Raw genomic sequence first — 21,891 nt, forward strand, 5'->3', positions numbered from 1 at the left:
ACTGGCACTCAGGTATGACCCAGCATGGAATGTGTACATTCCAGATTAAGTTTGAGTTGACATGTCCTGAAAGGGAAGTGGTCCATCACCATCTTAAAATCAAAACTATTACCTCTAGCATTGGTATCTGGGAATCCAGTTGTTTTAACTGCTGATCCCTAAAAGTACACTTTTTGTAAATCAAAGCTCTTTGATGTGAATTCTTAATTTTTAACAAGGCATAACTTGGCTATTTTAAGTAAATTGAAAATATCTGCAAATTTGAGCAGTCTTCTTGAATCACTAGAACACAGAAATAGTTTTAAATCTTTACTATAATGGTAGGCAACATAAAAAGCTACTTGTTAGATAGACATTTTCATATAACCTTGCATGGTATCAGATTTAATGTACATGGAAAATATTTCAAAATTGTAATTTTATATATTATTTTAATTCAAGTGTCAAAACATAGGTAAAAAAAAAACACTCTAAATAGTCTGTGGTTAAAAATGTAATGCAAATTCTCCCTTATTCACCTATTCTCTTATGGAAGACATGGCAAATAGAGTATCAAATAGACAAACTAACCAAATAATAGAAAAGCAAGCAAGCAGGGAAATAAAGAAAAAAGAAAGGAGACAGAAAAGGGGCAGGCGGGGAAGAGAATACCCTGAAGAATTGGAGTAAAAAGTAAAAACTTTTTTTGTTTTCTTAAAGACAACGAATTTAAAAGTTTTAGAAAAGGCCGGGTGGGGTGGCTCACACCTGTAATCCCAGAACTTTGGGAGGCGGAGGCAGGCGGATCACCTGAGGTCAGGAGTTCGAGACCAGCCTGGCCAACATGGTGAAACCCCATCTCTATTAAAAATACAAAAAAATAGCTGAGTGTAGTGTTGGCCACCTATAATCCCAGCTACTCAGGAGGCTGAGGCAGGGGAATCGCTTGAACCTGGGAGGCGCAGGTTTTGGTGAGTCGAGATTGCACCACTTGCACTCCAGCCTGGGCGACAGAGCAAGATTCTGTCTCAAGTATTTAAAAAAAAAAAAAAAAAAGTTTTAGAATAAGAATTATAAGACTGTGAACAAGGAAAATCATGCTTTTTCCTTTTGTGTTCTATTTGGAGTTTTTTTTTTTTTAACTTTGGTGGTAGCAAGGAGTAGAATGCGTTTATGAAGAGATAGGAAGGAATGTAAAAGCAAATGTCTACAACATGCCAAAATATGAGGTGCAGGCACAGCTATTAAGTAAATCAACCTGAATTTTTAAAATTCTGTCAAACAAATTTCATCCTGGCCCTGGAGATTATTAATATAACTGAAGATGAAAGGGAAAAAATAAACAATCTTATTAGAGAAACAACACTATAGTATTGTTATAATGACAAAGTGTAACCGACCTAAAAATAATAATTTAATGGTAGGAGAAAAGAGCACAGAAAAGAAATCTTGATAAAAATCTTAAAATTTTAAGTTGTAATACATTTAATATATGGCATTGGAAATTCTTTTCACCTCTTTAGACCCCAGCTTCTATAAAATAAAAGGCTGGAGCAAGATGATTATCAAAGATTTTCTAAAATGAATTCATTTTTCATCCTCATTGCCAAGAAAGATACTATATTTATAATTTCGGTCTAAACTACGAGATGAATTCAAGTAAGTGATCAGAACAAGAAACCAAAGCTACTCTTGCAATATGTTGGAATACACAGCTCTAGAATAAATCACAAATATACCTCTCTATTCTTAAGAAGTACAGTTTTTACTTTACATTTTAACATTAAATAGAGAGCAAAAAAATTATACATACAATTTTCAAAAGCCCCTTGGACTTCACTTAATGCCAGAGTTTCAATATATATTTTAAATCAAGGTAATTTCACATGAATATCCTTAAGTTAAAAAAAAGTAAGATGGATATTAAATGTATGTGATTACTCACATGCTTTTTTACATTTAGCGATATAAAAACAGTTGACAGGTTCTCTTGTTTGGCACAGTATAAAAATCCTCTCTGAGACTCGGTACTTACCACAACCACAAACTGCTCAGGTTCACATAAGTTGCTATATTCACTCTTGAACTGAGACAATGAATTTAATTGCTCTTGATCAGGAAGATGCTTTATTAAGTTCTAAAAATTAAAACCAGAAAGAAAGATCTTCACTAAATGTACTTCTTGAATTTTAAAAATATAATTTAAAAACTACTGAAAGAAAACCAGTGAAGTTAATCTTCAGTTTTATTTCTAGGTAACCTCCCTCCTAATAAGCCTTAAGCAAAATTCCCTGCATCTTGAAAACAGTCAATTTTCCATTTCTCTATCCCAGAGTTATTATATATTCAAATCAAGCACTACTGAAACTGAATGTTTATTTGATTAGCTATATAATTGAGAAAGAGAACTCAACCTATACCAAAGGAACAGCTTTCTCACCTGGATGAATGTGATCCATTACATTTCAGCTTTAGGGAATTAAATGTCAGAAATTTCAGGCAAAGCCAAACATATTTTAACACTTCACTCAGGGGGATAAAAGAAATCATCATATTGCTACAAAAAGGCATGGGAAGGGACAGAATAGAAATCAAGGGAATTTTAATGGCAGTGCTTGCAAGATTTACCAATAGGATTACAGTTTTAATAATAAAAACTGAAGATATCTCTAAAACAAACTAACTTTTCTGATGTGAAAGAAAATTTTAAAAGGTGTTGAAGACACATGATGATTGATATACCTTGCAGATAAAAGGCATGTAGAGGTCCTTTAGAAACTTAAGTAAGCCACACACTTAAACAACAGAACTACTTGAATAAAGATTAAAGGAATACACAAGACTATGTCTTCCTGATACAACTTAAATGATTAAACAATCCCTTGGACAAAGTCTATATCGATCCTCTGTATCAAAATACAATCAACTATAATAGCGTTACAAGAAGTTAGTGCATTGATATTAAAATTAAGATAAAAAAGAGTGGTTGGTGCTCACAATTCCAAATTACAGCATGAGTAAATTCTGTACAAGCCCAAAGTTGAATACAAACTATAATTAAGCCTAGATCATGCTATATATATTTATGGGGGGAAATTCCCCAAAGGTGTTATTAGTTAAAAATACTGTTAGAGAATGTTATACATCAAAATCAATTAGATCAAAGAATAAGTTATTGACTCACTGTGTACCTTTGGACAAAAACTTGGTTAACTGGCCAAAAACAAAACAAAAAAAAAGTGGCATTTTAAGATCATCCCTAGACAAAGTATTCACTATTAATACTATCAAATTGAATAAAAATAAAAGTATATGATTTCCCCACATAAATAGAAATTTCTCTTAGTGGAATTGCTTGAGACCAAAAGACATGATTATTTATATTTTTACCCATTCTAGTTGACAGCTGGATTGTTAGATTTTATTACTTCAGGCCTCTGAATTTCTTTAGCATCCTTTTAGACAAATCCCCCTGAATATCTCATATATAATCAGATTTTCATCTTTCACCTGAATTTTTTAATTTTTTCACTCCATTAATTTTACATTCTAACATAAAAATACTATTGTGATTTTTAAGTGCGTGGTTCCAACCTCCCTTTGTCTCTCCCCTTACAAATTCCCCACACCCTTCGCAAATCTTAAGCTACTGTTCAGCTAAATTCTGCACAGACAGGCACGCATGCCCAGCTTCCCTCACAGCCCACAGTATTATTACTGCCAAAACAATTGCCCTTCACTACATTTTTCATGCAACTCCTCTGCTCTATTCTACATCTATACCTATTCAACATTTACATACCCTTGCCTCCACACATACACTCACAAAGCATACTCCCTCAACATATTCTATAGGTCTAAACCAATCTTAAAACTTTGCTTACCTTGCTTTACAATTATGTATGTAAATGTCATTTCCCTTGTCAAATTATAAATTCCAAGAAGGTCAAGTCTAATTCTTATTGAGCCTAATATACAGCCGGGCATGGTGGCTCACGCCTTTAATCCAGCACTTTGAGAGACCGAGGTGGGCAAATCACTTGAGGTCAAGAGTTCAAGACCAGCCTGGCCAACATGGTGAAACCCCATTTCTACTAAAAATACAAAAATTAGCTGGGAGTGGTGGCGGGTGCCTGAAATCCCAGCTACTCAGGAGGCTGAGGCAGAAGAATAGCTTGAACCCAGGAGGCAGAGGTTGCAGTAAGCCGAGATCGCACCATTGCACTCCAGCCTGGTTGACAGTCTCACTCTGTCTCAAAAAAAAAACAAAAGTAATAAAACATAAAAATTATTGAGCCTAATACAATGCCCTGGACATGTTGCATAAAATAAAGTATATGAAAAATGAATTAATAAATGACTGATGTGACAAACAAAGGTAAATGGGTAAAAAATGATGCAGAAAAGTGGCATGAAAAATGGCAAAACAATGACATACTGCTGACCTGTACATATATATGAATAAGTAACTAAATATGTCAAAATATAACCATCACAGTGAACACAGAGAACCAAAATCATGATTATTACAACATAAAGCTCTGTTTCCATGCCCTGGTCAAAATAGGAATTCTTCGCATTAAAATGAGGAATATACTTTTAAAATTAAGAGTTCAAATAGCAAGAAATTCTTACTTTTTAATGAATATATTAAAACCTTATATATGTTCAAAATAAATTTTTACATTTTAGAAATACCCAAGGCTGGTTTTATATTTAGAAAGTATGATAGGCACAATAATGACATCCATTCCTAAAGATGTACATGACTAATCCCCAAAACCTATGAAAATATTAAGTTACATGGCAAAGGGAATTTAGGTTATAGATGGAATTAAAGTTGCTATCAGCTGACCTTAGAGTGGTTATCCTGAATTATTTGGATGTACTCAATGTAATCAAAAAGTTCTTATAAGTGGAAGAAAAAAACAATAGAGTTGGACGGAGATGTGACTATGAGACAAAGGAATTGAGGAATGCAAGATTGCTGGCTTGGAAGATGAAGGAATGGTTCTACAAGCCATAGAGTATGAGCAACCATGAGAAGCTGGAAATACAAACAGATTCTTCCCTAGAGCCTACGAAAAGAAACACAGGTCATTCTGCCAATACTTTGATGTTAGCATAGTAAGACCAATATCAGACTTATGTTTTACAGGAATGTAAGATAATAAATTTGTATTATTTTAAGCAAATAAGTTCTTGGTGAATGGGTATAGTACAAATAAAAAACTAATACATTACAAAATATATGGAGCTGAATGTACTTTGGACATGAATTTTAAAAAGCAAATCATCTCTTTTCTATTATATAACAAAACCACATGTTCATTTAAAACATTCATGTAATCAAGCTAAAAGCTACTCTGTAAATATTTAACTAATTCATTATAAGAAATACAAACAAGTATTAAGTAGAAAAATTTTATTTAAGGAAGTTGGCATCTATTCCTAGCAAGAAGGCACACATATAATCAACATGAACGAAGATGAAAATCCAGTAAAAAACAAACTGAAAGAGAAAAAAAATGCTTAAATAAGAGTAGCTGAATCAGGTAGTTTATGAGTCTCAGCGACTCACAGCACAAATCACTAGTGAAATTATATGACCACTACATTTAGAAGACAAGATAGGAAAGGCAAAACTTAGAACAACTTCCAAAGATATCATTTATTGATTAGTTAAAATATTCAGAATAATTTTAATTGCTTGTTGGCACTAATAAATATTTGGTTTCTTTTTATTGCTAAGTAATCATTTTCCTAAATATATCCGCTATCAGAACAAAAGATGGTAAGCTGAAGATAATCTCTCACTATATAATTTGTGTTTTGATTCTCCAACTTTAAATTTTATCAAGATATACATTATTGATTTCTTATGTGGAACTCAGCAATAACTTCGACATGATGCTAGTATTCATTTGAAAATACTATGAATAAAAGCCATTAACAAAAATCTTCTAGCTTTCTGAATAAATTCAGAATACTATGTAAACAATCTCTAATACTCATAGGAGCCCAAATGACTCTAAGAAGAATTGTTAGTAAAGGTAACTGTAATTGAAAACTCCCTCAATCTTCTAAACCATATAATAATATCTTCATAAGCCAAAGAAAAACACATTCTAAAAGGGCTATAGAAACAAATTTTAAGTAACACATTAATAAAGTATAACAAAAACAAAAATGTAAAATTAAACAATTTGCTTTTCAGAAACAATAACTTAAAATACTTAAAATGTAATCATTTGATAGCATTCTATTTCATGTGCAGTTAAGAGAAGATGCAGCTTTCTCTCCTGGCAATGCAGAAGTTATGCTAAAACTAATTATGCAGCAATGATTTTCCAGTTGAATGATTTGGGTGAAGAATTTTGCTTCACTTACAGATTTCTATTTAATGAGAAGCTTGCAATGAAATATTGAAATTTAAGCTGTGCCTGTTTGTTTACCTGAATCATAGACTCTGCCAACCGTGTTTCATCTACTTCCAATATCATCATTCTGATTTCCTCATATGGCACCCGAAAAGAGCTCAGGAAGATTGCTAAGAAGGAGAAAGAGAGAAAGGTTTATAATGAATAAGGTTTAAAAAAGTATTTCAGATGTAGTTCTATTTATAAAATCAAAAATAAATTCATAAAACAAGAGAATTCAAACATTTAATATTATGTTTGGGGGAAACATATTATGGGGGAAACTTTCATTACTACATTTTATACTCTTCTCTAGTTTTAGAACTAGTGTTTAAACAACAGTCCTGTGTTATTGCACTGGATCCAAGGTTGATTTTTAAATGCTCAGTTATTTATCTACCATAGGAATGATGTCAATTTTCATGTGATAACAAAAAATGAAATAAGGTACACTATAAAAACATCACATTGTAATGAAAATAATAAGAAAACCACAGTATGTGCATGTAATATTTGTCTAAGCATATGTATTATTTGCTTGTATCTCTTCTAGCCTTAGGAAAGAGTTCAGGAAAAAGTATTTTAAGAAAACTGCTAAGCAGTACATTAACACTTTTACAAGTAATAGTAGCACTTCACTATTCAGAAACATTGTAAACAGTATGCTAGGGAAACCTTCACATGTAACCAAAGCTTAAAATATCCAGTTTTAGAAAACAAATTCTCACTGAAAATTATCCAAATGTACTAGATAGTATAATATGTTATTACTGAGAATTCTAAACATCTTTCTTGATGGCTCTTATATCAACTATTATAATGATTTTTTCAAAAGTTACTGAAGTAGAAGGATATTTTCACAGCAACAGATACAACGCTTTTGCTAGTTCAACCCTTATTGTACTATTATGTTTTTACATTCAAGATGTCACTTCTTAACCATACTCAGCACCTGCAAATCAATAGCCTATTATTTTTCTTTTTATTTAATGAATTTCTATGTCATCTGGTATGTGTATTTCTAGATAAAGAAACTATGTTCAGCACCTCATATCTGTGGGTTCCATATTCACAAATCTGACCAACTGTGGATCAAATTCAATCCACAGTAGGTTGAATCTAAAGATACAGAAACCATGGATATAAAAGCAGAATATAAGGAACTTGAGCATCTGTGGATTTTGGTATTCATCAGGGGTCCTGGAACCAATCCCTCTGATATCAAAGGATGACTATTTTTTATAAAACTCAGGAAACAGGATCTACTTCTTTTCTGTATTGAGGTTGTATTCCTGATTTGTGAGAATATCATGTATCACCTACAGATTAACAAGGGCATCATCTGTATTCATATCACCAACACACACAGTTCTGAACCCAAGAAGTCTTAAATATGAAATCATTACAATAAAACTCACAGATGTCTATAATCCTTAATATCCCAAGAACAAGATGAAATATGTAAATGGTATAAGAGTAAATAGAGATTTGGCCAGGCACGGTGGCTCACGCCTGTAATCCCAGCACTTTGGGAGGCAGAGGCAGGCGGATCACGAGGTCAGCAGATCGAGATCATCTTAACTAACATGGGGAAACTCCACCTCTACTAAAAATACAAAAAATTAGCCAGGTATGGTGGCATGTGCCTGTAGTCCCAGCTACTCGGGAGGCTGAAGCAGAAGTATTGCTTGAAACTAAGAGGCAGAGGTTGCAGTGAGCCAAGATTGCACCACTGCACTCCAGCCTGGGCGACAGAGTAAGACTCTGTCTCAAAAAAAAAAAAAAAAAAAAAAAAAAAAGTAAGTAGAAATTTATAAAATTACAAAAGACAACTCCGTAGTAGACAATAGAACATGCAAAAAATATAATCACTGAAGATGGTGAAGTAGGGCTCTCCAGTAATTCTCCACCCTCACAGAAACATGAATTTGAACTAGCCACATGTGAAAGAAAATACCTTCAAAAGAGAGAAAACAAGTGAAAAATCACAGTACCTGGTATAGACTAATACTAAAAAAGATACATTGATTATGTAAAGAATGTTTTACATCACCCGTATCAATCCATCCACCAACGTCAGGCAGCACAGGAAAAAAAAAAAAAAAAGAGAGAGAGAGAGAGATACTGTCCACTTGAAAAAAAAGAGAAGTGAACATAGAAATTTCCCTTTGTCGCTAACAACAAATCTACCAGTATAAAATGCTCATGGACTCTGATTCCTGACAGGTATCTGCAGTCTAAGCATCTAGACTGACACTGGTACCAGACAGGAATCTAACGGTCCTTTGAGAAAAGACTCGAGTTCTGGCCTATATCACTGACGGATGACTGCAGCGACCTTCGTTTACAGAAAATACTCAGTGGCAAACAGGCAACAGAAGCCATGGGCTTCAGGAACCACCCAGGACTGCAACAACATTAAGAACCACGAAAGTAAGCCTGATGCAGGGCCAGCTGTGGGAGCCAAAAATTTCCAGCCTGGGCTGCACCACCCAAAGCACTTCTAGGCTTAGGGCACTCCCTAACACTGCACCAACAACAGCAACCCATACCAGATGGTCTACTCAAAAACCCTAGACAGACTTACTGTTGAAAGATGACCTAAAATAAAGTCACACTGAGAAGAATGGAATAAATATCTACTTCTTCAACATGCAGACAGCAACACTTGACCACAATGCAAAAAGACAATCAGGGAAACATGACATCACCAAAGGGACAAAATCAGCTGCCAGTGATGTACACTAGAGATGGACATGTATGAACTATCTGGCAAGGAATTCAAAGCTGTGGTTTAAGAAAGTTCAGTGAACTTCAAGAAAATACAAAAAAAAAAAAAAAAAATCAGTATTTTTTAACAAAGAAAACAGTTTTTAAAAATTAAACAGAAATACTAAAATATACAAGGTACAAAATGAGAAATTCAGTAGAGAGCATCAACTGTACAAGTGATCAAGCAGAAGAAAAAAATCTGTAAACTTAAAGACAGTTTATTTAAAAATATACTGTAAGAGAATAAGAAAAATGAATGAAAAGGAATGAAGAAAACGTGAAATTTATTGGACAGCATTAAAGAGCAAAAACGTGTCATTGAGGTTTGAGAGAGTAGATAACATTGTAGAAAACTTATTTTAAAAAGTAATAGCAGAAAACTTTCCAAACCTGCAAAAAGATATAAATATCCAGATACGGGAAGGTAAAAGGTGTCTAGTATGATTGAATCCAATACTACACCATGACATTATAATCAAACTGTCAAAGATCAAAGACAAAGAGGGGATCCAGAAAGCAACAAGAGAAAATAATAAAATAGCATACAAGAGAGTTCCAGTATACCTAACAGCAGACTTCTCAACAGAAACCTTACATGCCAGGAGAAAATATGATGACATATTCAAAGTGCTGAAGAAAAACAACTTCTAAGAATACTTTACCGTCAAAATTTATTTTTCAGAAATCAAGGAGAGATAGAGTTTCCCAGACAAACAGAAGCTAAGGAAGTTCACAATCAACAGCCCTGTCTTATAAAAATTGCTAAATGAAATTCTGCCAGTTGAAAGAAAAGGATGATAATGAGAAACATAAAAATATCTGAAAGTATAACTCACCAGTAAAAGTAAGTACATAGTCAAATTCCGAATATTCTAATAATGTAATAGTGGTATGTAAATCACTTGTATCTTTAAAAGGGAGAATAGAGGACAAAACTATTAAAATTAATAGTAACTACAATAAATTGTTAAGGAATATTCAATATGGAAAGATGTGAGTTGTGACATCAAAAATTCAAAATTCAAGGAAAGAGTAAAATTAATATGTAGTTTTATTTTTTATAAGTGATCAAGTTTATCAGTTTCAAATAAATTGTTGTAACTGTAAAAAATCTTTTAGTTAGCCTCATAACCACAAAGCAAAAATCTATACTAAATGTACTACAAATTAAAAGCAAAAAAATCAAAACATACTATTAGAGAATAATCACTTATCCAGAAAGGAAAACTGTAATAGAGGAAGAAAGTAAAAAGGATCTACAAAACAACTAGAAAACAATCAACAAAACGGTAGTTATAAGTCCTTCACTATCAATAATTATCTAGCATCTAAATGGACTGAATTCTCAAATTAAAAGACAGAGTGGCTGAATGAAAACAAAACAAAACTACAACTATATGCTGACTATTGAAGACTAACTTCACCCGTAAAGACACATATAAACCAAGTGTAAAGATAGAAAAAGATATGCCATGCACATGAAAACCGAAAAAGAACAGGAGTAGCTATATTTACATCAGATAAAATATACTTTAAACCAAAAACTGTAAAAGGAGACAAAGGATATTACATAATAAAGTGATCAATTCAGCAAAAGGATGTAACACTTGTAAACATATATATGTGTATATGCATGTGTGTGCGTGTATATACATATATATGTATATATATATATAATTTGTATCCAACACCAAAGCATCTAAATATACAAAGAAAATAGATCTACAGGGAGACATACATTGCAATACAATATTAGGAGACTTCAATGCCTCATTTTCAGCAATAAAACAGTCATCTAGACAGAAAATCAACAAACATGAACTAGAAAATGAACTCTAGGCCAAAAGGACCTAACAGATATTTACAGAACATTTCATATAACAAAATCAGAATAAACATCCTTCTCTCAACTGCACATGGAACATTCTCCAGGACAGATCATATGTTATGCCACAAAACATGTCTTAACAAATTTAAGGAGACTAGAATCATATCAAGTATATTTTCTGACCACAATGGAATAAAACTAGAAATCAGTACAGAAGAAAATTCAAAAACTTTTCAAATGCATGAAAACTAAACAACATGCTTCTAAATAACCAATGGGTCAATGAAGAAATTAAAAGTCTTCAATATAAAAATGTATTTAGAAAATTGAAAAGGGAAACACAACATACCAAAATATATGGGATATAGCAAAAGCAGATCTAAGTGAGAAGTTTACAGAAATAAATGTCTACACTAAAAAAAAAAAAATCTCAAACAACCTAACATTGCACCTGGAGGAATTAGAAAAACAAGACAAACTCAACCCAAAATTAGTAGAAGCAAGAAAATATTAAAGATCCAAGCAGAAATAAATGAAATGGAGACCAGAAAATACCAAAAAAAAAAAAGAAAGAAAAAACAACCAAAAATTTCATTTTTGGAAAAAATAAAATAATCAAATGTTTATTTAGACTAAGAAAACTCAAATAAATATAGTCATAAATGAAAAGATATTACAACTGACACCACAAAAATAAAAAAAGAATTATATGAGACTATTTTGAATAATTTCTTATACATCAATAAATTGGATAACCTAGAAAAAAAATGGATAAAATCCTAGAAACTTATAACTTACCAAGATTGAATTATAAAACAATACAATACCTGAATAAACCAATAACCAGTAAGGAAACTGAAATTAGTAATAAGTAGTTTCCCACCAAAGAAAAGCTGAGGATCTAATACATTTGCTGCTTAATTCTATCAAACATGTAAGTAAAAACTATTACCAATTCTTATCACACTATTCAAAAAAAATCAAAGAGTAGAGAATACTGCCAAACTCACTCCACAAGGCTGGCATTCCCCTGAAACCAAAACCTGCAAGAATGCAACAAAGGAAAGCTACTTGTCAATAACCCTGAAGCAAAAATTCTCAACAAAATGAATTCAATACATGAAAAAGATCATTCACCATGATTAAATGGGATTCATTCCAGAGATGCAAGGATGGTTCAAAACATGCAAATCAGTAAATGTGACACACCCTATTAACAGCATGGAAGACAAAACCATATAATCATTTCAATAGATAGAAAAATAATTTGACAGAATTCATCATTCTTTTATGATAAAGAATTTTAACAAATTAGGTATAGAAGAAATGTGTCACAACACAATAAATATATGCGTTATATATGACAAACATACAGCTATCATCATAACAAACAGAAAAGTTGAAAGCTTTTCCTATAAAATCTGGAAGAAGATAAGGATCTCCACTTTCACCACTTCTATTCAACATATTACTTGAAGTCCTAGCCAGGGCAATTAGGTAAGAGAAAAAAAATAGGCAGAAATAAGTTAAGCTGTACTTGCTTGCAGAAAACAACCTTAAATATAAAAAATCATAAACAAATGAAACTTATAAAACTCCTAAGCCTTCTCTTGATCCTAGTGTCTGGAAACCTTTATGAACTCAAAAATATAGGAAACCAAAACCACTTTTAAATAGACAAGTAGATAAATGAATGACTTTTAGATTCTTTCTCCAAAGTTCTAATCTAGTACATACCCATAATATTCTCTTCAATGAACTTTAGAAATGAACCTTTCCATTTTAGTATCAGTATTCTACTACTGACCACTGTTTTATTTCAATTTATCTCATTCCAAAACAGTTCTAAGACTCATCTCAGAATTCAGACTCTCAAAACTCTAAATTTCATGACAAAAAACTATAATTACAATGAAGATCATAGGCTGCTAAAGCTTCTTAAAGCTTAAATCATAATGCCTGCTACCATCAGAGAGGAGAAGAATAATCTTAAAATGGATTACATCATAATATGACATGGTATAAATTCTGTATCTTTTCATCTTACACTTTAAAACATGTTTCTCAATTAAATGAATAGGATATATATACTCTAGCTAAATTAAACAAGGCAAACAGGATCTTTCTCCATAAAAATGTTATTCTGTTTTCTGTAAAAAGGAACAGATATACATTAAACTATATAAACATTAAAATATTTTCAAAATGAGCAATCTTATTGAAATCACTTAACTGCTACACCCACCAGATTCCCTACCTATACTGTTAATGCTAATACCCACCTGGTGGGGTTGTAGTGAAGATTAAAGGGCCAAATACAGAACTAGTAAACAAAGGTAATCAGTATTTATTAGCTGTTTTAATTAAATTTGAAATCCCATGTAGAACATGTTCTGTAATACATAAATAAATAACCGTGTTCAAAAAGTTATTTAACTATGAGATGGACATTTAGGCTAACTTACCACAGCTGACCCATTCAGAAAGAATTCTATTAAACATTATATTTCTTCGGGAACTATTACAAGACTATTTAGAATCAACACTAGTAATTTGTAATGCAGGTCATGAACATTTTTCAAAATAAAATCATCTCTTTTAGATCACAGATACGGAACTTTCTGACATTATCTGACATAGTTCAAAACACAGTGCTTTGAACCTAGACAAAGTTCTTTTGGGAGGGAAATTCCCTAAAATATGTACATCATGCAAAAAACAAAAAACACAAAATCTCTGTGGTCTAAGCAAACACACACAAATTATTTCTCATGAAGACCATATGTTCATCACACCAGTTTCTGTTAATTATTAATTATGATCCCTATATCAGGATGATGGACACCACTCTGAATGCCATTCTGGGTGCCAGGGGGAGCTTCTTCAACCACCAATGAAATGCTTCCACCCCAAAAAGTGACATTAACTCCACTCCCATCTTCACTGGTCCAAGCATGTCACTTGGTGACTCCTAACTTGACAGGGGCAGAGATGTGCAATCAGCAGTGCCCAGAAATAGAGAATTGAATACTAGACAATACACCAATGCCGCCATACTATCCATGGGGATCTTGGCAGGCCTGCATTGTAGAAAAGAGATGGGTTTAGATCAAAGTGATTACGAAGGAGAGGAGGTTCTGAAATTTTCATAAAAGGAATGCCAACTCTACCATTTGAATATATTGCCTCTAACATAACTCTCTCTTTAATCAGTAGCATGGATCTTTATCCTCTCGCTGAAGAACTGTTTTATTCCAATACTTGCTAAAAGCTCAGTTGAGGCATGTAATAATTGAGGGAGACTAAAAACCATGTTAATTCTTCATCACTCTAGATTCTCCCCATTATTCATATCCCTCTTGCACCATCAGAAAGTGATATATACAGACCATAGTATATCATCTCTAAGCATAACTACCTTTGATGCATTTAGAGTAGTTAGAAATGAGTTAAGAGCAAAACTATTTGCCTTCTTCTCTCACAGTAATTTGGTCAAGAAGATAATTTAATACTGAGTATTTAGCTCCTGTAACAGTAATTAAATCTAAAATATTTCTACTCAGAACTTTTGAGGAAAGGCTTTGAACTGCTCAGATGGGATAACTGAATTCACTTTACTCACCATCCTTATTTCCGTTAATATTATAACCTCCTTTATGTGTGATCAAGTATCACAAATATTAGAGATTCAGAGTTATAAAAGAAGCAATACACTACCAATTTTTTTCAAAATATGATGTCATTACCTAAATTCCTTAAGTCTTTATTTTTATACTTTAAAAAAAGGGACTTTAAAGAGTAGCTGTTTTTTTTTTTCAGTTATGAAAGGTAGAATTTCATTTTAAAACCTCTTCTTATTTGTATTTTCTAATATGCACTTATCTTTTGAAGCATTTAATCCCATAATTTACCTAAAGGAGAGTTATCTGTGAATTTATCATGCATATAATAACAAAATGAAAATAGCAAATAATGAATAATCGGTCTTAAAGAAAATGAAATCATTTAAAGAAATATTTCCACTGTCTTTGAATGGTATTGGAATATGATACTTACAAAGGTTCTGGGCAATTTTAGAATCTAAAAACTTAAGTTCTTTAATTTTTTTCTTAATCGATTTCTTCTCTTCAATATCTTCCTCTTCTCTTCTCTCTGTAAAACCAAGATAGATCCATGTTAGGGGCAGCAATTCATTCAAATACAAAAGTGGAAAAAGTGAACTTTTTATCATTAAATAAGCTAAAAAGGATGTAACTCTTCTAAATAAAAGTTATAAAAACAAATAAAACGATAGATATCCCAAGACCTGAACTGTTGAAGATAGAAACTGGGAGCTTTTATGCCAGAGAAACTATGGAAAGTAAATATTTGAAGGTCTAACAGGAAAAACAAAAATAAAACTTATGTATACTATGGAAACCAATACCAATGGGTATAAGAATAACTACAATTAGCTCATTTGAATAGCATACAGGATACAGTTATAAAAATTAAAACACCTGCACTCAAGTTGCAAGTATATTAATTGGATTATGAAGCTAGCTCTAAGAATGCTAACTAAAACAGTCATTTTATGTCTAATATACAATACCATTCTTATTTAAAAACATACCTTATGAAAAATTAACAGAATAAATTTTATTGATCGTGAATGTTGAATCATCTATGCATCCTTGAAATAAATCCCATTTGATCATACTGTATTATCTTCGTGATGTACTATTGGATTTGTTTTGCTACTATTTTGTTGAGGATTTCTGCATCTAAATTCATCAGGAATATTGGTCTAAGTTTTCTTTTTATGTTGGGTCCTCGTCTTGTCTTGGTATTAGTGTAAAGCTGGCCTTGTAGCATGAGTTAGGAAGAATTCTCTCCTCTTCATATTTTTGGAATAGTTTGAAAGGAATTGGTGTTAGTTCTTCCTTAAAACCTTGGTAGAATTCAACAGTGAAGCCATCCAGTCTTGTTGGAAGACTGATCAACTTCCTTACTCATTATTGGTCTGCTCAGGTTTCCTATTCTTTCTGATTTAATCTTGGTAGCTACGTGTCCAGAAATTTCTTCATTTCTTCTAGGTTTTCCAATGTGTTGGCAAACATTTGTTCATAATTAGACTCTAACAATCCTTTTTATTTCTGTGGTATCAGTTGTAATATCTCCTTTTTTGATTTTGATTTTATTCATTTGGGTTTTCTCTTTTTCTTCTAATGGTTTATCAATTTAATTTAAAAATAAAACAACTTTTCATTTGTTTAATCTCATATTGTTTGTTTTTTGTTTGTTTTGAGACAGGGTCTCACTCTGTCACCCAGGCTGGAGTGCAGCAGCATAATCACAGCTCACTGCAACCTTGACTTCTCAGGCTCAATTGATCCTCCCACCTCAGCCTCCCGTGTAACTGGGACTACAGATGTGTGCCACCACATTCAGCTAATTTCTTTTTATTTTTCATAGAGACAGAGCCCCACTATATTGCCCAGGCTCGTCTTGAACTCCTGCCCTCAAGTGATCCTCCCACCTCAGCCTCCCAAAGTGCTAAGATTACAGGTGTGAGCCACCTCACCCAGCAATGTGTCTTCTTTTTTTATCTGTTTCATTTAGTTCTGCTCTGAACTTTATTATTTCTTTCCTTCTACTAACTTTGGGTTTGGTTTGTTGTTTTCCTAGTTCCTTGAAATACATCACTAAGTTCTTGATTTGAAATCTATTTTTTATGTAGGCATTTTTTGCTACAAACTTCCCTCCTAGTACTGTTTGTGCTATATTCTAAAGGTTTTGGTATATTTTGTTTCTACTTTAACTCATTTCAGAAATATTTTTTATTTTCTTAATTTCTTCATAACATATTGGACATTGAGACTAATTGTCTAACTGGACATTAGAGAAGCAAGCTGTATAATTTCCATATTATTTGTAAAGTTCCCAAAGTTCCTGTTGTTGATTTCTAGTGTTACTCCATTGTGAGCTACAAAGATACTTAATATAATTTTGATTTTTTACAAGTTGTTGAGACTTGTTTTCTGGCCTAACATATGGTCTATTCTGGAGAGTGTTCCATGAGCTGAAGAGAAGATGTGTGTTGTGCACCTACTGGATGCTATGTTCTGTAAATGTCTATTAGATTCATTTGGTCTACAGTGCAGTTTCAGATTGATAGTTCTTTGACAATTTTCTCCCTAGATGGTCTGACAAATGCTGAAAGTTAAATTCTCCAACTACAACTATATTGGAGTGTCTCTCTCCTTGTAGATATAATAATATCTGCTTTAAAAATCTGGGTGTTCTGGCGCTGGGCATTCACACATTTAAAACTGTTATATTCTCATGCTGAATTGGTCCCTTTATCATTATATAATGATCTTGTCTCTTTTTATCTCTTTTTGACAAAGTCTGTTTTGACTGATACAAGTATAGCTTATCCCTGCACACTTTGACTTTTCATTTACATACATTACATTTTTTCAATCCCTTTGCTTTCAGTCACTGTTTATCTTTACAGGTGAAGTGAGTTATTGTAGACAGCATATATTTGCATCCCATTTTTTTAATCCATTCAGCCAGTACATAACTTTCAATTAGAGAATTTACACTACTTATAATCAAGGTCATTAATGGGTTAGCACTTACTTCTGTCATTTTGTTGATCATTTTCTAATTGTTTTGTATATCCTTTGTTTCTCTCTTCCTCTCTGTTTATCTTTGTAGTTTGGTGGTTTTCTGTAATAACAATATTTGCATCCTTTCTCATTTGTGTGTCTGCTCTATAGGGAGCTTTTTACTTTTATGTGTTTTAACAGTGGTAGATACAGCTTTCTTTTGCTTCCAGATATATGACTCCCTTAAGCAGGGAGTCTAGCAGTGATGAATTCCCTCAGTGTTTGATTGGCTGGGAAAGACTATTTCTCCCTCACCTGTGAAGAACAGCTATACTGAGTAAAGCATTCTTACCTGACAGTTATTTTCTTTAAGCATTTTGTAGGTATCATCCAATTCTCTCCTAGTCTGTAAATTTTCTGCTAAAAAAAATTGATGTTGGTCTGATGGGCATTCTCTTATATGTGACTTGACACTTTTCTCTTGCTATTTTTATAAATCACTCTTTGCCTTTGCCTTTTGAAAATATGAATATAATATGTCTCACAGAAGAGTTTTTGAGTTGAATCTATTTGGGAATCTTTGAGCTTCGTGTATCTGGATGTCTATTTCTTTCCCAAGACTTAGAGAGTTTTCAGCTATTATTTCATTAAATAGGTTGTCTATGCCTTTTCCCATCTCTTCTCCTTCCAGTAATCCCAAAACACAAATATATATTTGCTTAATTTTATCCCACATGTCACGCAGACTTTTTAAATCTTTTTCTCTATTTTTCTTTTTTTGGTTTGTCTGGGTTATTTCAAGAAACCTATCTTCAAACTCAGAAATTATTTCTTGTCCTTGTCTAGTCTACTGATGAAGGTCTTGATTATATTTTTTATTTCCTTTATTGAATTATTTGATTCAAGAATTTCTATTTGGCTCTTTTTTTATATCTATCTCTTTGTTGAATTTCTCATTCTAATCAATTGTTTTCCTGATTTCTTTATATTGTCTACTTGTGTTCTCTGCGCTTCACTGAGTTTCCTTACAATCATTATTTTGAATTCCCTTTCAGGTCTTTTATAAATTTCTTTTTATTTGGGGTGTGTTATGGGAGAATTACTATGTTCCTTTGAGGTATCATGTTTCCTTTCTTTTTCAGATTTTTTTGTGTGTCCCTAAAGTGATATCTGTGCACCTCCTCTAATAATCACTTCTAATTTTATAGAGTAGCTTTAATAAGCTAAGACTTTTTCCTGCAGATGTATTTACAGCATCGATTAAGTAGAGTGTTTGGAGTTTTGGGTGGGAGCAGCCACATAGTCTCTGTGTGATTTCTTCAGCTATAATCATCAGCAGTGTCTGAGATTTCCTCAGTGGCTTAGGCTGCAGTTGTTTGTGGAGGCTTTGGTATGACTTTCATAGTGATGAAGATGAAGAGCCAAACCCAAGGTGGGTCTGTCCTTGAGCCCAAGTGGCATGTATATGGATACCAGCAGGCCCTAGTCACATCAGTCCTTCATCCCCGGGGCAGCAAACATAGGTTCTGGGAAGACTAGTCCTTGGGCCCCTGGGGGTTGTACTTGGGGAATGGCAGTAACAGTCAGGTGGCACATGTGATCGTATGGCAGTCCCACACTGGAGGTGGCGAGGTCGCTATTGGACAAAATTGGGAACTTGATAAGAAAGAAGAGTGTAGCAATGTGTTTTGGTAGATATGTAAATCACTAAAGGTAAAGTTCAAAATCTGAAATGCTCCAAAATCTGAAACTTTGAGTATCAAGATGACACTCAAAGGTTATGTTCAAAGGAAATGTTCATTGGAGCATTTCAGATTAGAGAGATTTGGATTAGAGGTGCTCAACCCGTAAGTATTATGCAAACATTCCAAAATCTAAAATACAAAACACTTCTGGTCCAAAGCATTTCAGATAAGGGATATTCAACCTGTATATTACAATTATATATTTTGGTACATAGCATGAGGTAAGAATCAAATTTTCCATTTTTCAAAACATTTGATATTTCTGTGTCATTTTATATAATTAACCATCTTTCTCAACTGATTTTAAGTTACACTTTGATCATATAATTAGTGTCTAGATAAGTTATTTCTATTTTTCTGGGCTACTAGTTCTGCTACATTATTCTCTGTGCTACTGTTAACACTGCTATCACCCTGTCTTAAGTACTATAGATTTATGATACGTTTTATTCATTGGCTGTTCAAATTATTTTTCTCCATATCTAAATTTTGTTCTTTTTTTTTTTTTTTTTTTTTTTTTTGAGATAGAGTCTTGCTCTGTCGCCCAGGCCAGAGTGCAGCGGTGTGATCTCGGCTCACTGCAACCTCCGCCTCCCAGGTTCAAGCAATTCTCCTGCCTCGGCCTCCTGAGTAGCTGGGATTTACAGGCTCATGCCATTATGCCCAGCTAATTTTTGTATTTTTTTTTTTTAGTAGAGACAGGGTTTCACCATGTTGACCAGGTTAGTCTCAAACTCCTGACCTCAAGTGATCCACCGGCCTCAGCCTCCCAAAGTGTTGGGATTACAGGTGTGAGCCACCATGCCCGGCCCTCATTTATTTCTCCACATGAACTTTAGAGCAATCCAAAAGGTCTAAAAATAAAATCCATTTGAACTGTATTTGAATTGCAAGGTAATTGCAAATAGATTCTGAGAGATTTAATATCTTGACAATTTCTGAACTTCCTTATCATAAACATGGCATGTGTTTATAATTATTCAACTTAGCACAGTGTTCTTCATACATGACCTGTATATTTTATGTTAAGTGTTAGGTATCCAAAGGACATTTGTACTCCTAGGTATTGTGTAGAAACTTTGCCTAATTTTGTATACATGTTTTATAATCAGGATTTTACTTATTTTGTCTTTCATTCAGATAAAAAAAATTATTAAGCAACTAAAAAGAGACTGTGTTAGGCAACAAAGATACAATGCTAGACAAGATAGAGAAATTCCTTGCCTCAAAGAATTTAAGGTCTAATAGAAGTGACTATAAAATAAATGACAATTATAATACATGGATGTATTAGTGATGTTATAGTGAAAACTACACAAGAATAAAGAAGAGCACCCTAACTATGCTTGTCAAAAATAATCCTTTTGGGATAAATACCTAAGCAAAGCTTGAAAGGAAAAATGAGTCAGCCAGGTAAGAAGGTGGGGGTATGTGGGAAAGACACAACAATAGAAGAATAGTATTTGAAGGTGTAAAGGTGCAAAAACTCTAAAGGCACTGAAAGACTTGAAGATAATAAGAACAGAAAATATTAAACAGAAATAAATGACACCAGAAATGAGTCAGGTACCAGATCACATAAGATATTTTAAGCCAGGCTAAGACATTTGGATTTTATTCTCACACTAATGAGGAGCCACTGAAGATTTAAGCACATGAGACATCAGGATAACTATATTTTAGGAAAAACTCAGGCTAAAGAAGGTGGATTAGAAGAATGGCAAAAATTACAATAGAAGGGCAAGACTGAAGGAAGTTACAGTAATCCAAACGAAAGTCAATGGTACCTTCACCAAGGGCAATAACAACAGGGAAGGAGAGTGTGGATGAGTTCCAAAAGTTGATTCTGTAGTGGGAAATAGACTAATTATTGATCCAGCCCAAATTTGTCTCTTGAACTCCAGACTTGAATAACCAACTGCTCCCTCTCAACATCTTTATTTGGATGTCTAATGAGCACCTGTACTTAACATGCCCAAAAGCAAACTCCTGACATATACGTGCCTACCTCCATATCTGCTCTCCCAACTATTTTCTTCAGCTTAAAAAATGGGAATGTTCTTTTTGCTATTTTCAAGTCAAACGCTTGAATTTTGCTACTATTCCCCTCACGATAATATCCTATCCATCAGTGAATCTAGTCGATTCTAACTCCAAAATATTCACTAAAGTAATCACTCCTCACCATTGCCCTGGCTACAATTTCTCTTTTTGTGGCCAACATATTTTTTCACCTGGACCACAGCCGGTTTCTAACTAGTCTCCTTGCTTTCAGGCTTGACTAGCTGTAGTCTCTCCACTACAGTGCAGCAAATGAATCCTGTTAAAAACTTAGTGGCAAAGCCTTCCCTTACTGCCTTATATAGAAAGCAAACTCTTCACCTGGTGTTCTCTATCACCATTGTTCTGACTTTTTTCTCCTTCAAAGCACTTACTCCTTACATATCATAAATTTGATATTGTCCCTCTTCCTCCATTAGAAGATAAGATCCTTAGAGGCAGAAACTTTGATTGTCACTATATTCTTAGCACCAGGATTAAAGCCTGGAACA

At 33.2% G+C, this 21,891-nt stretch overlaps 1 protein-coding gene across 15 annotated transcripts in view; it reads right to left on the reverse strand.

Annotated features, from left to right (window-relative positions):
• Positions 1 to 21,891, reverse strand: part of DIAPH3 (diaphanous related formin 3) — a 498,346-nt gene that overhangs the window by 244,138 nt on the left and 232,317 nt on the right. For 14 of the 15 annotated variants that reach the window (XR_002957478.1, XR_002957480.1, XR_941672.1 and 11 more), the window contains 3 exons: positions 15,055 to 15,150; positions 6,435 to 6,529; positions 2,015 to 2,116 (listed from right to left, as the gene is read on the reverse strand). Coding sequence is in view for 10 of the 15 variants with exons in the window: in NM_001258368.2 (NP_001245297.1) it covers positions 2,015 to 2,116; positions 6,435 to 6,529; positions 15,055 to 15,150 (293 nt within the window). In the remaining 5 variants the exon portion in view is untranslated. Of the gene's footprint in view, positions 1 to 2,014; positions 2,117 to 3,170; positions 3,193 to 6,434; positions 6,530 to 15,054; positions 15,151 to 21,891 lie in introns of all 15 variants that reach the window. The other variant, XR_001749694.2, reaches the window with a different exon arrangement.

This window comes from Homo sapiens, chromosome 13, assembly GCF_000001405.40.
Source record: "Homo sapiens chromosome 13, GRCh38.p14 Primary Assembly".
Classification (NCBI taxonomy): Eukaryota; Metazoa; Chordata; class Mammalia; order Primates; family Hominidae; genus Homo; species Homo sapiens.